The sequence below is a fragment of the Homo sapiens genome, chromosome 6 (genome assembly GCF_000001405.40).
Source record: "Homo sapiens chromosome 6, GRCh38.p14 Primary Assembly".
NCBI classification, from domain to species: domain Eukaryota; kingdom Metazoa; phylum Chordata; class Mammalia; order Primates; family Hominidae; genus Homo; species Homo sapiens.
In genome coordinates, this window is record NC_000006.12 from 107,726,096 (window position 1) to 107,741,762 (window position 15,667).

Here is a 15,667-nt window from a genome sequence, read left to right on the forward strand (position 1 = left end):
ACACCATCAAGAAAGTGAAAGGACAACTCACAAATTGGGGGAAAATACCTGCAAATTATATATTTGATCAGGGACTTGTATATCTTGTAAAAGGGGCTAGACTTATACAACCAACCTGTGTAAGGGACTAGACTGTATTAAGAGTTATTCTAGCTGGGCTGGGCGCGGTGGCTCACGCCTGTAATCCCAGCACCTTGGGAGGCTGAGGCGGGTGGATCATGAGGTCAGGAGATCAAGACCATCCTGGCTAACACGGTGAAACCCCATCTCTACTAAAAATACAAAAAATTAGCCGGGCATGGTGGCAGGTGCCTGTAGTCCCAGCTACTCGGGAGGCTGAGGCAGGAGAATGGCGTGAACCCGGGAGGTGGAGCTTGCAGTGAGCTGAGATCGTGCCACTGCACTCCAGCCCGGGCAACAGACCGAGACTCCATCTCAAAAAAAAAAAAAAAAAAAAAAAGAATTATTCTAGCTCAATAAAAAGACAACCCGATTTTAAAATGGATAAAGGACTTGAATAAACATTTCTTTAAAAAGATATACAAATGGCCAGTAGGCACATCAAAGCTGATCCACATCATGAGTCGAATCAAATCAAAACCACAATGAGTCACCACTTCACACCCACTAGGAAGGTGATAATCAAAGAGTCAGATAACAAGTGTTGGTGATACCATAGAGAAATTAGAACCCCCACACCCTGCTGGTAGGAATAGAAAATGGTGCAGCCACTTTGGGAAACAGCCTGGTACTTCCTCAAATGCTTAAAGTAGAATTACCATAAGAACCAGCAATTATACTCCTAGGTATGTACTAAAAAGAAATGAAAACAAATGTCTACATAAAAATCTGTACATGAATGTTTACAGCAGCCCTATTCATAATAGCTAAAAAGTGGAAGAAACTCAAGTGGCTATCAACGAATGAATAAAATTTAAGAATCTGTTATATCCATACAACAAAATATTATTTGTCCATAAAAAGGAATGAAGTACTGATATCTGTTACAGTGTGAATGATCCTTGAAACATTATGCAAAGTAAAAGAATCCAGCCACAAGAGACCACATGTCAAATGATTCTTTTTATATAAAATGTCCAGGAAAGGCAAATCTATACAGACAAAAAGTAGATTCGTGGTTGCTTAGGGATTGGGGTTGGGGTGTGGGGTGGGTAATAGCTAAAGGGTATGTGGGAGGTTTCTTTGAGGTGATGAAAGTATTCTACAATTGACTGTGCTGATAGCTGCGCATATCTATATACTAAAAGTCACTGAATGGTACCTTAAATGGTGAATTGTATGATATATGAATTATATCTCAATAAAGTTTTTTTTTAAAAGGCGTTTGCAGAAGTTCAGTGCTTTTCAGATGAGGCTATGAACATATTCTCAAGAATTACGTGCAGTCAAGTGTAACAAACACGGCGTTGGCCACCAGGACACACATAACCTAAGCAGCCAAAGGGTCTGCATGCTCTGTGCCGAATGCTATGCAGCCAATGAAGTGCTGCGAGATGTCTTCAGGACCCTGGAACGCTACATCTTTGCCTTGATGGCCTCGCTGCATCTCTTCCCTCTGGGTCAGAAGCCTTCGGAAGGGAGATTCTAAAAAGGACCTGGCTATGGAGCTATATACTAGGCTGCTTTCTGAATGGAGTGAGGGAAAGGAAAACTCACGTGTATTGAACATCTACTATCTACTATCTACGATCTAAAGCCAGTAAGCAGTAAGGCTGCCATTACATTCCTTTTGTTGGAAAGTTCTCATAGTCTGGGATACCAATCCTTTTTGTGTCCCACATGTCAGGTGCTTTGGTATATGTGAGGAAGCTACATGCAGTATCTGGCATGATGCCTGGAATAGAGGAAGTGCTTGATAAATATTTATTGAGTAAACATTTGAGCCAATGTTAGCTGTAAGGCTGCCGTTACACAGAAGACTCATTAAAATTGATATTATAAAGAGCTTATATATAAATTCTTTAGGTAGATTTGTGATAAACAATGAAAAAAGATTTAACAAAAACAGTACACTGCTTATTGAACACTTTAAGTCTAAATTAAATATGCCTACATAGTTCTGATAGTCTAAGGTAGAGAATGCAGATAATTCACTGACTGGCACTATAGTTGGAAAATACAGACGCAGATGGCAGATCATTCCCTTATCGCAAAGTGTGGGAATGGGGAACAAGGGAACATGCACTGAATGGATTTCAAAACTGTTGACAGCGGCCAGGCACCGTGGCTCATGCCTGTAATCCCAGCACTTTGGGAGGCGAAGGTGGGCGGATCACCTGAGGTTGGGAGTTCAAGACCAGCCTGGCCAACATGGTGAAACCCGTCTCTACTAAAAATACAAAATTAGCCAAGCGTGGAGGCAGTCGCCTGTAATCCCAGCTACTCAGGAGGCTGAGGCAGGAGAATTGCTTGAACCCAGGAGGTGGAGGTTGCAGTGAGCTGAGGTTGCATCACTGCACTTCAGCCTGGGCAACAAGAGCAAAACTCTGTCTCAAAAATAAATAAATAATTATAAAGAAAGAAACTACTGATGCCCGTGGGTGAGATCAAAGGTAATAAAAGCTAACCTCTGGGCTGTGATCCAAATGAATTATCAGAAGGGAAAATAGGCTTCGGAGGGCATCAAGCAATACCTTCTACCCAGGCAAAGGATGTGCTGGTGGTTCCAAAGTCTGCCCAGGTGGACAACTGTCAAGACAAATCAACCAAGCCCCAGATGTGGCTCTGTAAAGTGGCTCCTGGGTGGCCGCGAGTGAACAGCACGTTCAGATGCACACACTGTGGTGGCTTCCAGAATTGATGAAATGGATCTGTTCAAACCCGATTGAAACTGCATTTTCCGCACTTTTCTATAGAGGGGTTCTGATACATCATAGCTAAGCGTAAAAGTGACAGATGCATGGATGGCCCTCATCATTCGGTGGCAGGAAGGAAAAGGACCTTCACAAGCACCCAGCCCAGCATTTCCCCAAATGTTAAATGCTTTCCACTGGCGGGACAGGGAACCACATGGGTATATTCATTTCCTAGGATTGCAGAAACTAACAAACCGGGTGGTTTAAAACGACAGAAATTTATTCTGCCATAGTTCTGGAGCCTACCAGTCTGAAATCAAGGTGTCCACAGGGCCAGGCTCCCTCTCAGGACTCTAGGGGAGAATCCCTCCTGGCCTCTTTCTAGCATCCCCTGGTGGCCAACAATCTTTGGAGTTCCTTGGCTGGAGACAGCGCTCCAATCTCTGCCTCCACTGTGGTGTTTTCTCTGTGTGTCACGATCTGTGTCCAAATTTCCTTCTTCTTCTAAGGACACCAGTCATGGGATTAGAGCCCTAATTCAGTATGACTTCCCTTTCACTTGATTACATCTGCAAAGATCCTATTTCCAAATAAGATCCCATTTCCAAAAAGGGTTCCAGATACCCGAGAATTTGAACATACACGATTCAGCCTACGACAACCAGTAAATGTTTTTTTATTGTCATGTATTTCAATGTACATCCACGACATATAATTAGCACATCAAACAAAATGATTTCACTGATACAGTATGATTGCTTAAGCTGACTAATGGCTAAGATTAAAAGACATGAGTTAATGTAAAGGAATATCTTGAGTAGACAGTTCTATAAGTGTTACTCAGACACAGTAGAAATTGTGAAGGTGGTAAATTAATATTTGGAATGCATTGAGCTAGCCCCAACCTATCTCTTCAGGCAGGGTGTTGTCTAGAAAAGAAACTATGGTAGATAACTGAGTCTTTTATTTGAAAGCTTCCCCAAAGAGATTTTACAATCTCCTTTAGAGTGAGGCCATTGTGCTATGAATCTCATTGCCTAAAAGTTCCTCCTTACATCTAGCCTCAATTCTTCTTGCTTCAGTTAAAACACATGACTGCTGGACATGTACCCTTTACACTATCCAACATGTTAGGTCACCTCAACATCCAACATGAGGCAGATGAATTCTAGGTATGCAGAACTACTAGGAGCTTAAGAATTTAATTGAACTGTGACATATGTTTCTTACCTAAATCCAATATTTAAAGTCAGTAAAAAGAAAGGACCAAGTCTGTATCTGGAGAGGGAACCCCCACTTTTCAAGCGCTTTTGTGGCTGACTGGTGAGCAAACACCAGATGGGGCCAGCCGACCTGTTGGAGGATCTAACTCCTGCACACAGAGTCCCGGCAGACCGTAGGGCTCACAGGCGAAGGCACTCATGGTCGAAATTTCCTCCTGTGTCCATACAAAATCGTTTTCCATCTGAAAGAAGCTGTCTTGTCACCCTGGCACTGCTCATCAACAAGAGGCTCCAACCCAGCCTGTGTGAGGCCATTTAATTGCAGTGGAGAATGCCAGCTTAACAAAGCAAGGTAAATGAGTGGCTTTTTACTCACTTCTGTAACCCTCTGCATCCAGCCAAGAGACTAATGTTGCCATTTAAGAATCATTAAATCTTTTCCTCCAGAAAAAAAGAATGATCTGCCTTTTGCACAGTCACGAGAGCATGCTTAAATAGAAAGGAAAACACACACGTGGCCCCATCAAAGAAATCTGCCACATTTTCAAGGTTTGGCGTCCTGGGAGCTTTCAGGACAGACTGATGGTCCTTTTTCACCATCGCTAAACCTGCTTGTGGACTATGGTTCCCTCCAGCCACTGTGTATAAAGCCTGCCTATTAGTGAGGCCAAAGAACACTCTAGAAGCATGTAAACCCACTCAAGCCTCAAGGCATACCTGTTTGCATATGAACCTGAACTGTGCCTAAGCCTTCCGGTTTAGGGATCAAAGCTTCAGGGTTCTGAGTCCAGAGTGTGTGGATTCCTCCCTTGCTCCCTGATCCTTGCTGAAGCCTGGGGTGGAGATAGGGTTAGGTAATGCCCCTGCATCCATGGCTTCCAGGACACCCAGGTGCAGCCCATTTCTGCTACAGTCCTGGAGGGTCAGGTGTGAGCCCCTGAAATGTAGAGAACCTCCAAAGAGAGAAGCAGAAAGAGGAAGAGGTGCAGGAGAAAGCCACGAGCCAGAGAGAGAAAGAGAAAGTCCCAAAACAGAGCGGCAGGGAGGGGAAAACGGACCTTATGTATAAAACTATAGATGCTCCTGACCAAGTGTCAGCTCTCCTCACTTAGGACACAAGGCTTAACTGCTTACAGCCCAGTGGGCTCGGACTATTGATTTTATTTTTAAAAACTAAACTGGCATTTTACCTGGATTCACTAACCAAATGAAGTCCTGAAACACAACAATTCCACTATGCAAAATTATTCTCACATAATACCTATTAAGGCAATAAGAACCACAACATCTAGTCTTAGACACTATTTGTCATCTCTAAACAGTTCTGCCTGTTTGTCTTTCTCTCTCTCTCTCACCCCCCACTTCCCGCATCAGTCTTCCCAGTTGAGGGAGCAGCTGCAGAGTGAGCCCTTTCCACAATCAGCACGACCACCTTCCTCCAGACTGGGAGCCCTGGCCTTGCTCAGGATTGATTGCCTGACCCCTTTGCCGGTCTGCCCAGCCCTGCCGACCCCCACACCCTGCCCAGGCAATGGTCAGTGTCCTGTGGCCTCCGTGTGTGAACAGTTTGGTTCGGCTTGCTGACAGAGATGGCAACATCAGAGATTCCTAGCCCTGAAACCCAGATTAGAAAAGGCAGGAGTGCAGTTCGCAGATTTGTAGAGCTGTGGAGCAGCTACCCCTCTTTGCTTAGCCAGGTGCCATCACCTAGATAGTACAGGAAAAGGAGACCTGCGAGGAGAGGGGCAGGAGGGAGAAGGCGCAGGAAGCAGTAGCAGGTGCTCGTGCCAGCTGCACCTCTTTTACTCAGAGCCCAGACACAGGTGCTTCGGTGCCTACCTTGGTGGTTGTGTCTCTGCCACCCGGCAGCCTCTCCCACTGTCCTCTGGGGGACCGCCGGTTTCCAGCACGTGCTTGGTGCTGTGGGATGCAGAGGGGCCTTCTGCTGTGAATCTCTAACGGACTTCCTGGTGACCAAAACCTGAAGGTTTCCTCCCCTGCATGCAGCCTTTCACTGAGGCTCCTGTGGAGGTTTGCAGATTTTCTTTTCTCAAACTCAGTCCCGCCCCTTGTTCTTGCAGATAAGGGAGTTTTCCCTTAGGGCCCTCTGTGGCCTCCTGGCCCAGCCTTTCTGGTTCAAAGGGCACAGGGCCATACTACCTATGAGGCTGAGCATTTCATTTGCTTCAATTAAATTTTCCATTAACTTGGTCTCTGGCCAGTATGGATTTTCTCTCTAAGGTTGTCTCTGCAGTTCAGATCACTCAGCCCTGAGAATCAACCTTATGACTCCCCTCTGGTCCATTTAAGTACATTTCTATTTTTTCTCCCCTAATGAGATGCACAGCAACCGACCATAATTTTAATGCCTGACACCTGAACTTCTTACATCCTCTCAGATGTTTCTGGTTTGCCTAAGACTTTGTTCTAAGCCTAGGGGTTGATTTCCTCCTTTGGAAATTTTGACCAAAGGCATTTTTGACCAAAGTCATCTGTTTGGGATAATGAATGGCCTTTCTGTGCTCTCGGGAGGAGAGCAGGTTCCATACCACCCTCCATATGATCTCGCAGCTTTGCCAAACCTCCACGCCAAGCTTATGAGAATTCCCGAGAGCTGGGGGAGGCGAAGTGGGTGGGACATCCTGTGGTCACGCTGTTTCCTCCACAGCCCCCACAATTTTTTGGTCTTTCATAGAACCTTGGGGAAATTAAAAGTGGTCCTTAATCAGGAAAATGCTGAAGTTCCTGGAATAGAGGACGCCTTGTAAGTTTCCTTTCTAAATGGACATCTCGACTTTGAGAGAGGTTCACAGCACTCCTAGCATTGCTCACTCTGGTGGAGCAAGTTGCTGTGCTGTGAGATGCTCTGCAAAGGGACCCATCTGGCAACAAACCAACAGCTCATTGGAAACTCAGTCCTGCTGACAACCATGTGAAAAAGCTGGAAAAGTGGGTCCTGCCCTAGTTGAGGTTTGAGATGCAGCCTTGTGAGAGATTCAGAACCAGAAGGCCTGTGGCTGCACCTGGTCCCCTGACCCACAGAAGCTGTGAGACCCTAAATGTTATTTTAAGCCCCTAAGTGTTGGGGGTAATTTATGACACAGCAAAAGATAACTATTGTGGACAGAAGAAAGGAAGCCGTTTCATTCCTCTTGATTCTGCATGTCCAGATTGGAAGTTGTCATTATTAACTCAGCAGTAGCTAGGATAGATCTGGTACAGAGTATCTGCCCACTTCTCTGCCAGGGAGTTTATGTTTGTTTGTTGTAGTTTTTTTCAGCAAAGGGTTTGTTGCTTATGAATGAAACACAGAAAGCACCACTATTAGGAGAGAGTTCATGAAGTTCATCTTAGAAGCCTACTGGTTTCCTAAGCTGCTTCAGCTCCTCTTGGCATGGTTTGCCATTCTAACCCTAGTTCTCAAGCATGGACAACAGATAATGGTGTGAGTAGCCTGCAGATAGCAGTACCTTAGGGTCCGCCACAGGGGCTCAGGGTTGTGGTCCAGGGGAATAACCAGAAGGGGTCTCTAATACAACCTGTGCAGGTCCTGGAGGCCTCGAATGGCTGCATCTCACATACCCTGTCCCTTTGTTTCCACCAGTCCTTGTGCTTCCACTGTTCTGAGGTATAATCAGAGAACTTGGTTTCCAACCCCTTGGATCTACTTAGATGCCTGGCCCATCTCCCGGACCTACTCTTCTGTCAGAGGCAGGAGCCTCTTTGGACAGGCTCATCAGAAACAGAACATCTTCTGCAGTGGACACAGACACAACTATTTGATAGAGAGGCTGGGAGACCCCCGGCCATCTGGCCAGCTCTAATGGCTCACGGAGAATCGAGGAGTGGGGGCGCCACATGAGGGACTGTTCGCCTCATGGAACACAGGAGATTTCCAGTAGATTTTGTTATTTGAGGAGTGGGCATAGGGTAGAGGTAGGGGTGTCTTTCAGAGGATTCCTGGGGTCAGCCTTCTAGGAAGAAGGAGTCCATTTGGCCTCTTTTTTTCAGGCTTTTTATCTCCTCCACACCCCCAAACAGTAGAAAGCCTGCAAGGGGTTTACCACCAGCATCATTCTACTCCTCAAGTCTCAGGTGCTGGCATCTTTAATCCACAAAATAAATTGTGATTTAGACAAGAAGAGTGTTCACTTCTTTTGTTTGTTTGTTTGAATACAGTTACTTTCTACCAAAATTTTATCAAAGGGGTCAACGTGACTCAATATTACTCTAGTTCATATTGAAGATACCTTGGGCGATTAAAACAACTTAATTGGAACATTCATTCATTGGTTAATAGTTATGGAGTAAATAACTTCCTCGGTATCTACAGGACATGAGAGAGAACCTGAGCCTTACAATGCAAAGGGATCCAATCAACTGCTGGACATAATAGAGAATCCATTTTAAATTCTACGAAATGCAGGCTTTTCTCTGGAGGCACCTTCTTTAAAAAAGAGATTACATTTTTCCCTTTTAGTTCAATATTTTAAAATATGTACAGATATCATAATTTAATGAAAGATATCACTGAAAATATAAAGCTTTTCCTAAATGAATTTACATAGGCACATGGGGAGAATTAGGATGAGGACTCCTACCCTGGAGAACACTCCCTATTCCATGGTGTAAGGGTTCTAGCTTGGCCTCTATGGCCCTAAGTGTCAGGAAAAATATGAAGGCTTTTGTATTTTCTACAAAACTGATGGACACTTTTTAGTTTCTTTTTGTTGTTGTTGTTGTTATTGTTGTGGTTTTTGAGAAGGAATCATGCTCTGTCACCTAGGCTGGAATGCAGTGGCACAATCTCAGCTCACAGCAACCTCCACCTCCTGGGTTCAAGAAATTCTCCTCCCTCAGCCTCCCGAGTAACTGTGATTACAGGCATCCACCACCACACCTGGCTAAGTTTTGTATTTTTAGTAGAGACACGGTTTCACCATGTTGGCCAGGCTGGTTTCAAACTCCTGGCCTCAAGCAGTCCACCCACCTCGGCCTCCCAAAGTGCTGGGATTACAGGCGTGAGCCACCGAGCTCAGCCTCTTTTTCAACCTTTTCATCAAAACCTTCTGCAAGGATTCTTAAGACCAGAGCTTGTCAATAGTTTATTCTCCTTCCAAATGACCTCCTTTCCAATGCTCAGCTTGAGAATGAGACAGCTCATTTGTCCATGTGGCCCTTGGCTGTGACAAACACAGCTCCACAATGTTCCAGTCATGTGGCCTGCACTGGGACACAAGCAGGTGCAAAGGCATCTGCAGGAACGCACCTCTCTTCATTCCTTTCCTTTCTTTCTGTTTTTGAGGGCGGGGGGATTCCAGTTCTGTTTTTTTTTCTTCAAGTTTTTTTTATTGTGGTAAAACACATATCACATAAAGTCATGGCCCGACACAGTGGCTCACTCCTGTAATCCCAGCACTTTGGGAGGCTGAGGCAGGTGAATTACTTGAGCTGAGGAGTTCGAGACCACCCTGACCAACATGGCAAAACTCCATCTCTATTAAAAATACAAAAATTAGCCAGGCATGGTGGCAGGCTCCTGTAATCCCAGCTACTTGGGAGGCTAAGGCAGGAGAATCACTTGAACCCTGGAGGTGGAGGTTGCTGTGAGCCGAGATCACGCCACTGCACTCCAGCCTAGATGATGGAGCAAGACCTTGTCTCAAAAAAAAAAAAAAAAATTATCATCTTTACCATTTCTAAGCATACAGCTCAGTGATATTAAATACATTCAAAATGTTGCATAACCATCATCAGCATCTATCTCCATAACTCGTCTTGTAAAACTGAAACTCTATACCCATTAATCAAGAACTCCCCCTTTATTTCTTTTCTTTTTCTACCCATCATTCCACATATTAATTCAAACACTAGATCAAACTCTGCCACTGTCTGGTGGAGTAGGCTACTTGTGTGGGTTTTGTAGAAATGAGGAAGTTCCCTGGCAGCTGGAATGATGGGCTGTGCCTGCCCCGTGGTTGTCATCCAGCCCCGATGTAGCCAGAACACAAGGACACGGGGAAAACATCCCGTGTGGGAAAGGCAGGAAACCCAGGAGGAGAAGAGAATTGATCTTCCTAGAGTGTAGTTTCCTCCTTGATTTTGCTAAATGAGGGCTGGGGTTTGTTCTGTTCTTTCACATCTTTGCTAGAAGCAACACAGGTGTACCACAAGCCCCTTGTGGACATCTATTGTGTGCAGTCAGCCCTCTGAGCTGAGAAACAGGGATGCACACCCCACGCAGCCAGTGCTGGATAACGGGCCTTACAGACAGCAGAAAAACTTGGAATAAGGAAAAACTTGGAGAGGAAAAGCAAAGGGCCGGGGATGAGAAGACCTGCTCTCGGTTTCCTCCCTGCTGCTATCTTGCTGTGTGTGTGGCTCTAAACAAGTGACCTGGGCCCTGTGCGCCTCGCTGCATTACCAACAGGGGAGCTCAGCACTATCTGCCAACTGACTAAATGGATGGGTCCATGTAATGAAACTCATGCCTCTTGATGAACTCTGTTCCCTTTTAAAAATAAATGATCTTTTGTAAAGATAGACATTCTCCATATATTCTCTGTAATGTTATTCTACTAGATAAATGTGTTGTTGGATAGGAAGCAGGTTTCATTTCTCAATGCTGAGTGTATAGGTTCAACCGTAATGGAACACTGTGAGTGACTATTACTGGGAGGGTGTTCTGGTGCCTGCTCAAAGACCACCAGCCAAGGAAGGAAACAGTAAGCCTCAAGAATAAATGTCCGTTCTCATCTTCCACCCCCTGCCATCTGTATATCAAAGAAGCTACTCAGCAAAAGTAAACAATCTGTCCCCATTATGCTAAACCTTCAAAAGGCAGGAAACCAGCAACTAAATTAGATCTTGCAGAATAGTTCAACTCTCACATTTGTGGTTTCCAAAGATCTCCTACTCTTGGTGAGCAGACAATTTGTTCTGTCGTGTTGCATAGAATTCAAGTCAGTAGGTATTTACTGCGTGTTTGCTGTGTTTCAGGCTCTGCTGGGGACCCCCAGGTCTATCTAGCAGGAAGAAGAGATCTGGATGCAGAGTCCTGCAATATAAAGCAGAATCAAATGCCATTGTGGACGTGGAAATAAGGATCTGGGGAGAACAGAGGGATACCTTCTTCGGATTGGGGAAGGTTTACAGGGCACCAGAGACCATGCTTCAGGTGCTTGCTGGCCATGGGGAGAAATTTGTTTGTTTGTCATCATTCTTTCCTATCTTTCACCCTCTTCCCCAGATATGCAAGCCTTGTCTTTCTCCCCTGGATTTATACAAGTGCCACCTCGATCCAACCACTCTGCCCTTCATGCCCTTCTCTTCCCTTCCAGCCCACAAAACACCTCCACTCAACACTGGATCATCTTCAGGGGCCACACTTATAGCAGAGAAGAACCATCTTAGCACAGACAGACTTCCTGTACTGAAAACTTGGAATAAGTTTCTCTGTGTGAGCAGGACTCTGCCAGCCCACCCACACTCTATCACTCAGGGTGTGGCCCCCGCCCTATCAGCTGCACCAATATCAGCAGCACCAGTATTACTTGGGCACCTGTTAAAAGGCAGACTGTCTTGTGGAATGATAGACAATGCAGGCTTGTAATGGTGAGCCGGGTGGGAGGGAAGAGGAGAATTACATAATGGGTACAATGTACATTATTTGGGTGATGGGTGTCCTAAAAGCCCTACCTTCAGCGCTGTGCAATCTATGCATGTAACAAAATTACATTTGTACCCCAAAAACTTGTACAAATAAAAAATTGAATTTAGCTTAATTAATTTTTTTTAAAAAAAGAAATGCAGGCTTTCAGGCCCCACCCCAGCTTTACTGAACCAAAATCTGAATTTTAGCAACATACTCAGGTGGTTTCTGCACATTAAAGTTTGAGAAGCACTGGCTAAAGCATATTTATACTTGGGTCTTTTTAAATTTTAACACTCAAAGGCAACAACAATTTTCCCCGTGGTCATCTCATGACTTCTGACAGAGCCACCAGTGTTATCAAATCCATCTTTCTGCCTCCATTCTCCTAAAACACCCAGGGAGCTGTGTTACTTCCCCAAACACAAACCACCTTCAGATGTCAGCTAATAGAATTGGAGGGAAATAACTAAGTTCCTGGTCTCAGGCCAAGAACTCTAACTTCCAGGCTGAATTCAGGCAGCAGGGAAGCCTGAAGGCTGATTTTCCCTAAGCACAGGAAAAATATCATTTGAATAGGGAGTTTATAACTTTGGGAGGCCGAAGCGGGCAGATCACCTGAGGTCAGGAGTTCAAGACCAGCCTGGGCAACATGTCAAAATCCCGTCTCTATAAAAATACAAAAATTAGCCAGGTGTGGTGGTGCACACCTGTAATCCCAGCTACTTGGGAGGCTGAGGCTGGAGAATTGCTCGAATCCAGGAGGTGGAGGTCGCAGTGAGCCGAGTTCGTACCACTGCACTCCAGCCTGGGCAACAGAGAGAGAGTCCATCTTGAAAAAAAAAGGATCGAGAGTTTATATTTCAAAAGTCTGAGGAAGAGATGTGGAAGAAGCCCTCCCTCTTCTTCAAGGGAAGAGGTCTTGCTTCTAATACAGCCACTTTGTCTTGGTGCCCATACCTTCACCTCTGGGAGGCCCTTGCTAATGCTTTGAAGGTAACCTGCCCTCCCGCTGTACAGGGCTGTTCTCTGCCACCTCCAGCCCGGAGCTGTCAGCCTGTAAGGGACCAGCGAGAACATCTTGCTCCTACTCCTCCAGGTGGCCAACATTCCCACTAATGACCCTAACAAGTCACACATATTTGTCACCAACAATGGGGAGATCATTATCACCTACCTTCCAAGCAGCCCCTTCAAATTCTGAGTGGCTTTGACATTTCAAAGCTCTTTACAATGTCAACTCCACCTGACTCCCAAGGGAACTATCTTCTGAGAGTTCCATCTGGTTATTTAACTGCTAAGTTCTCTACCTGGGAGAGTGTTCCTTAAATCTATGCTTCTCTAATGTGTCTTCAAAGCACCTGGGGATCTGTTGTTTGAAAGTTTGGCAGGGCCACTGAGATTTTTGGCTTTGGTGGGTGATAACAATGCCCCTGACCAGAGTTTGAGGGACAAGACCTTAGATTTAATTCAATCTACCTTTTACTTATTTAGTCTCAGTTCTGTTCTACAGGACCACAGAGAACAAAGCCACCTGACCTGCTGTCATATACTGGAACATAAAATCACATCTTTCCCAAATCTTCTCTTTTTTTCTACCAAAAACATCCCAGTTCTTTCCATAGTTCCTTAGCTGTCATGGCTTTGCATCTTCTTATCATGTGATTAACTGTCTTCTGGAAATGTTCCAGTGAGTGTTGACAAGCCCTTTAGGTGCATGGCACCAATCCTGGAACTCTTCAACTTGAACAGAACAACCCTGGGGCCAAGCAGAACCAGGCATTGTCCTGATGCAGATAAGCCCATGACCTTACAATCCTGTTCGGGAACAATGTGGTCCTATGGATGTATGGAGCCTCAAACAAAAAAAAACCTCCACCCTTCCCTCATACAAATGCATATGCCTTTCTTGTCACAATGGTGAGAAAATGGATGATAAACTAATTCATCCTCTAACATACTGGTAACTTGACATGTTATTTAAAGAAACTTTGACAAGGCGATCTTAAAGAGACAATGTCTTACTCTAAAGGCAAACTCCCTAATGGCGTCATTGTAGGGCTCATGACAGACTGGTGGGAAAGACATGTGGGGTGAGGGTACTGCTCAGAGCTTACCATGCCATCGCTGCTTCCTCCACTTTCCCCAAGGCTCCCTGACAAGCAAAATTCACAGCACTCAGCTCTGCTGAGAAATCAGTGCCACAAGGTTGGATAATTTAGAGCAATTTATTTTTTCAAAGTAGTTATGAGCTAGGAAAGGGCTCAAGAGAACAACTGGGGTCATTACTTCCAAACCTCCCAGCTGACTGGGAGGAAAACCAGCTTTCAGATGGGGACATCAGCTTTTAGGAAGGAAGGCTGTCATCCTCCTGGAATAAGATGTTAAAAGGAAACCATTTTAGGCTCAGTTTTAGCTGAGCTGCAAGACAACAGACACCATATACCACAATAAAGTGTGAGACCACCATGCGGGTCTTGTAAAAAGAGATGGTGGAAAGCCAGTTTTACACCAACAGATGACCACCCACATCCATCCTGCAAACGAGGTTGTAGAGGCGGAGAAACAGTTTAACTAGAAGAGAAATTTTGGAGAAAATGATCCAGTGCATGGCTTCAGTGTGAACACATGAATAGCTTGAGATCTGTCCTCTGGAGCTTGAGAGACAAGCTCTAAAAGATGGCCCTTGGCTGGCAGAACAAAGGAGAGGTGCCTGCAGGGATCAGCCAATACATCCAGAGTTTGTTTGGTCAGAGGATGTGCGAGTGTTTCTCAAGGACCAGATGTGGGCCATCAGAAGACATAGATCTGCAGCAGGATCATCTTAGATCCTTTCCACAGGGCAGTCTGGAGGTGCGAGAGGGCTTCAGCTGAATCTAGAGATTTACCCCCAGAGGCCTTGGACTGTGGAAAGAATTGTAAATGACCAGCTAGAGAAGAGTTGCATTTGTCCATGCCCATGCAAGTGCAGGTGAGAGATGGTAGGGTCACCAAAGAACACATGTAAAAGCCCACAGGATGAAGAATCAGCTTTAAACATCGGCTAGAAGCAGAGAGCATGATGCCAACTCACAGCAAGATTCATCACGTACAAATTCCCCTGCCTCTTGCGTCTCCTCCTTCCCCCATCCACTGTGAAGGGGATCAAGGTTAGCGAGCTATGGGAGGAGGCAATAACAAAAGGGGGAAGGTTGGGGGAGAAGCCAACCATGCCCTTCTTTATTGCTGCAGGCAACTGGCCTGAAGCAAGCCTGAGCTGGGTGTGGGGCAGTCATTATGTCTTTGAGTGAAACTGAAAGTTTCGAGGCCGACTTCAAGTTCCAAACTGGTGGCATAGAAGCAAGCTGGCTTCAGTCCCCACCACAGAAAATCAAAAACAAATGTACAGCACCGAGATTATAACCAGAAATATCCCAGAACTCAAATATGAAGAGGAGACAGTGCCTGGGGCCACAGAGAAATGAAAAAACTCTGAGCAGAGGGTAAGAGAATCTGACTTCCACGTTCAAGTCCCTCCCTCCATCTGCTTAGCACCAAGCATGCAGAAAAATGTCTCCCAATTCACTGTTTCTACACTAGAAAAAGTGAGATCAAGGTGTACAACCAGCTTTCACACCATCTTGGTTTCCATGGCAGGAGGCCTGTCCTTGCCTTAATCCATAGGAAGCATTGAGAGTGCCCGAAGGGAGAAATATCCCTGAGGACAGCCAGAGACAAAGCAGGGAGGTAGAACTACCATCCCCAGCCCTGGGAACTCTGCTTAGTTACTTGCCCAAGGGAGATTTCAAATCAGTGTGGCTGTTACGCAGTACCACACTGTAGGTTTGTCCCACAGATCCCCTGGGCACAAGCCCCTAGCCAGCCTTCCCACACTGCTGGGATATACCTTTTTGGGACCTTCTGCATTTGGAAAGGGCAATGCTTCAATCATTCACTAGAGCTAAGGCAAACCTGGGCTTAAGGTGCCATGTAGAGCC

General features: G+C 45.4%; 1 protein-coding gene across 11 annotated transcripts in view; it reads right to left on the minus strand.

Moving 5' to 3' along the window:
* Window positions 1-15,667, minus strand: part of SCML4 (Scm polycomb group protein like 4) — a 143,885-nt gene that overhangs the window by 23,942 nt on the left and 104,276 nt on the right. The window contains exon 1 of one of the 11 annotated variants that reach the window (XM_011535709.3): window positions 10,930-11,074. The exons of 9 other annotated variants lie outside the window; for them this stretch is intronic. The gene's annotated coding sequence lies outside the window, so the exon portion shown is untranslated. Of the gene's footprint in view, window positions 1-5,878; window positions 6,056-10,929; window positions 11,075-15,667 lie in introns of those variants that run through there. One more of the 11 variants, NM_001286409.2, reaches the window with a different exon arrangement.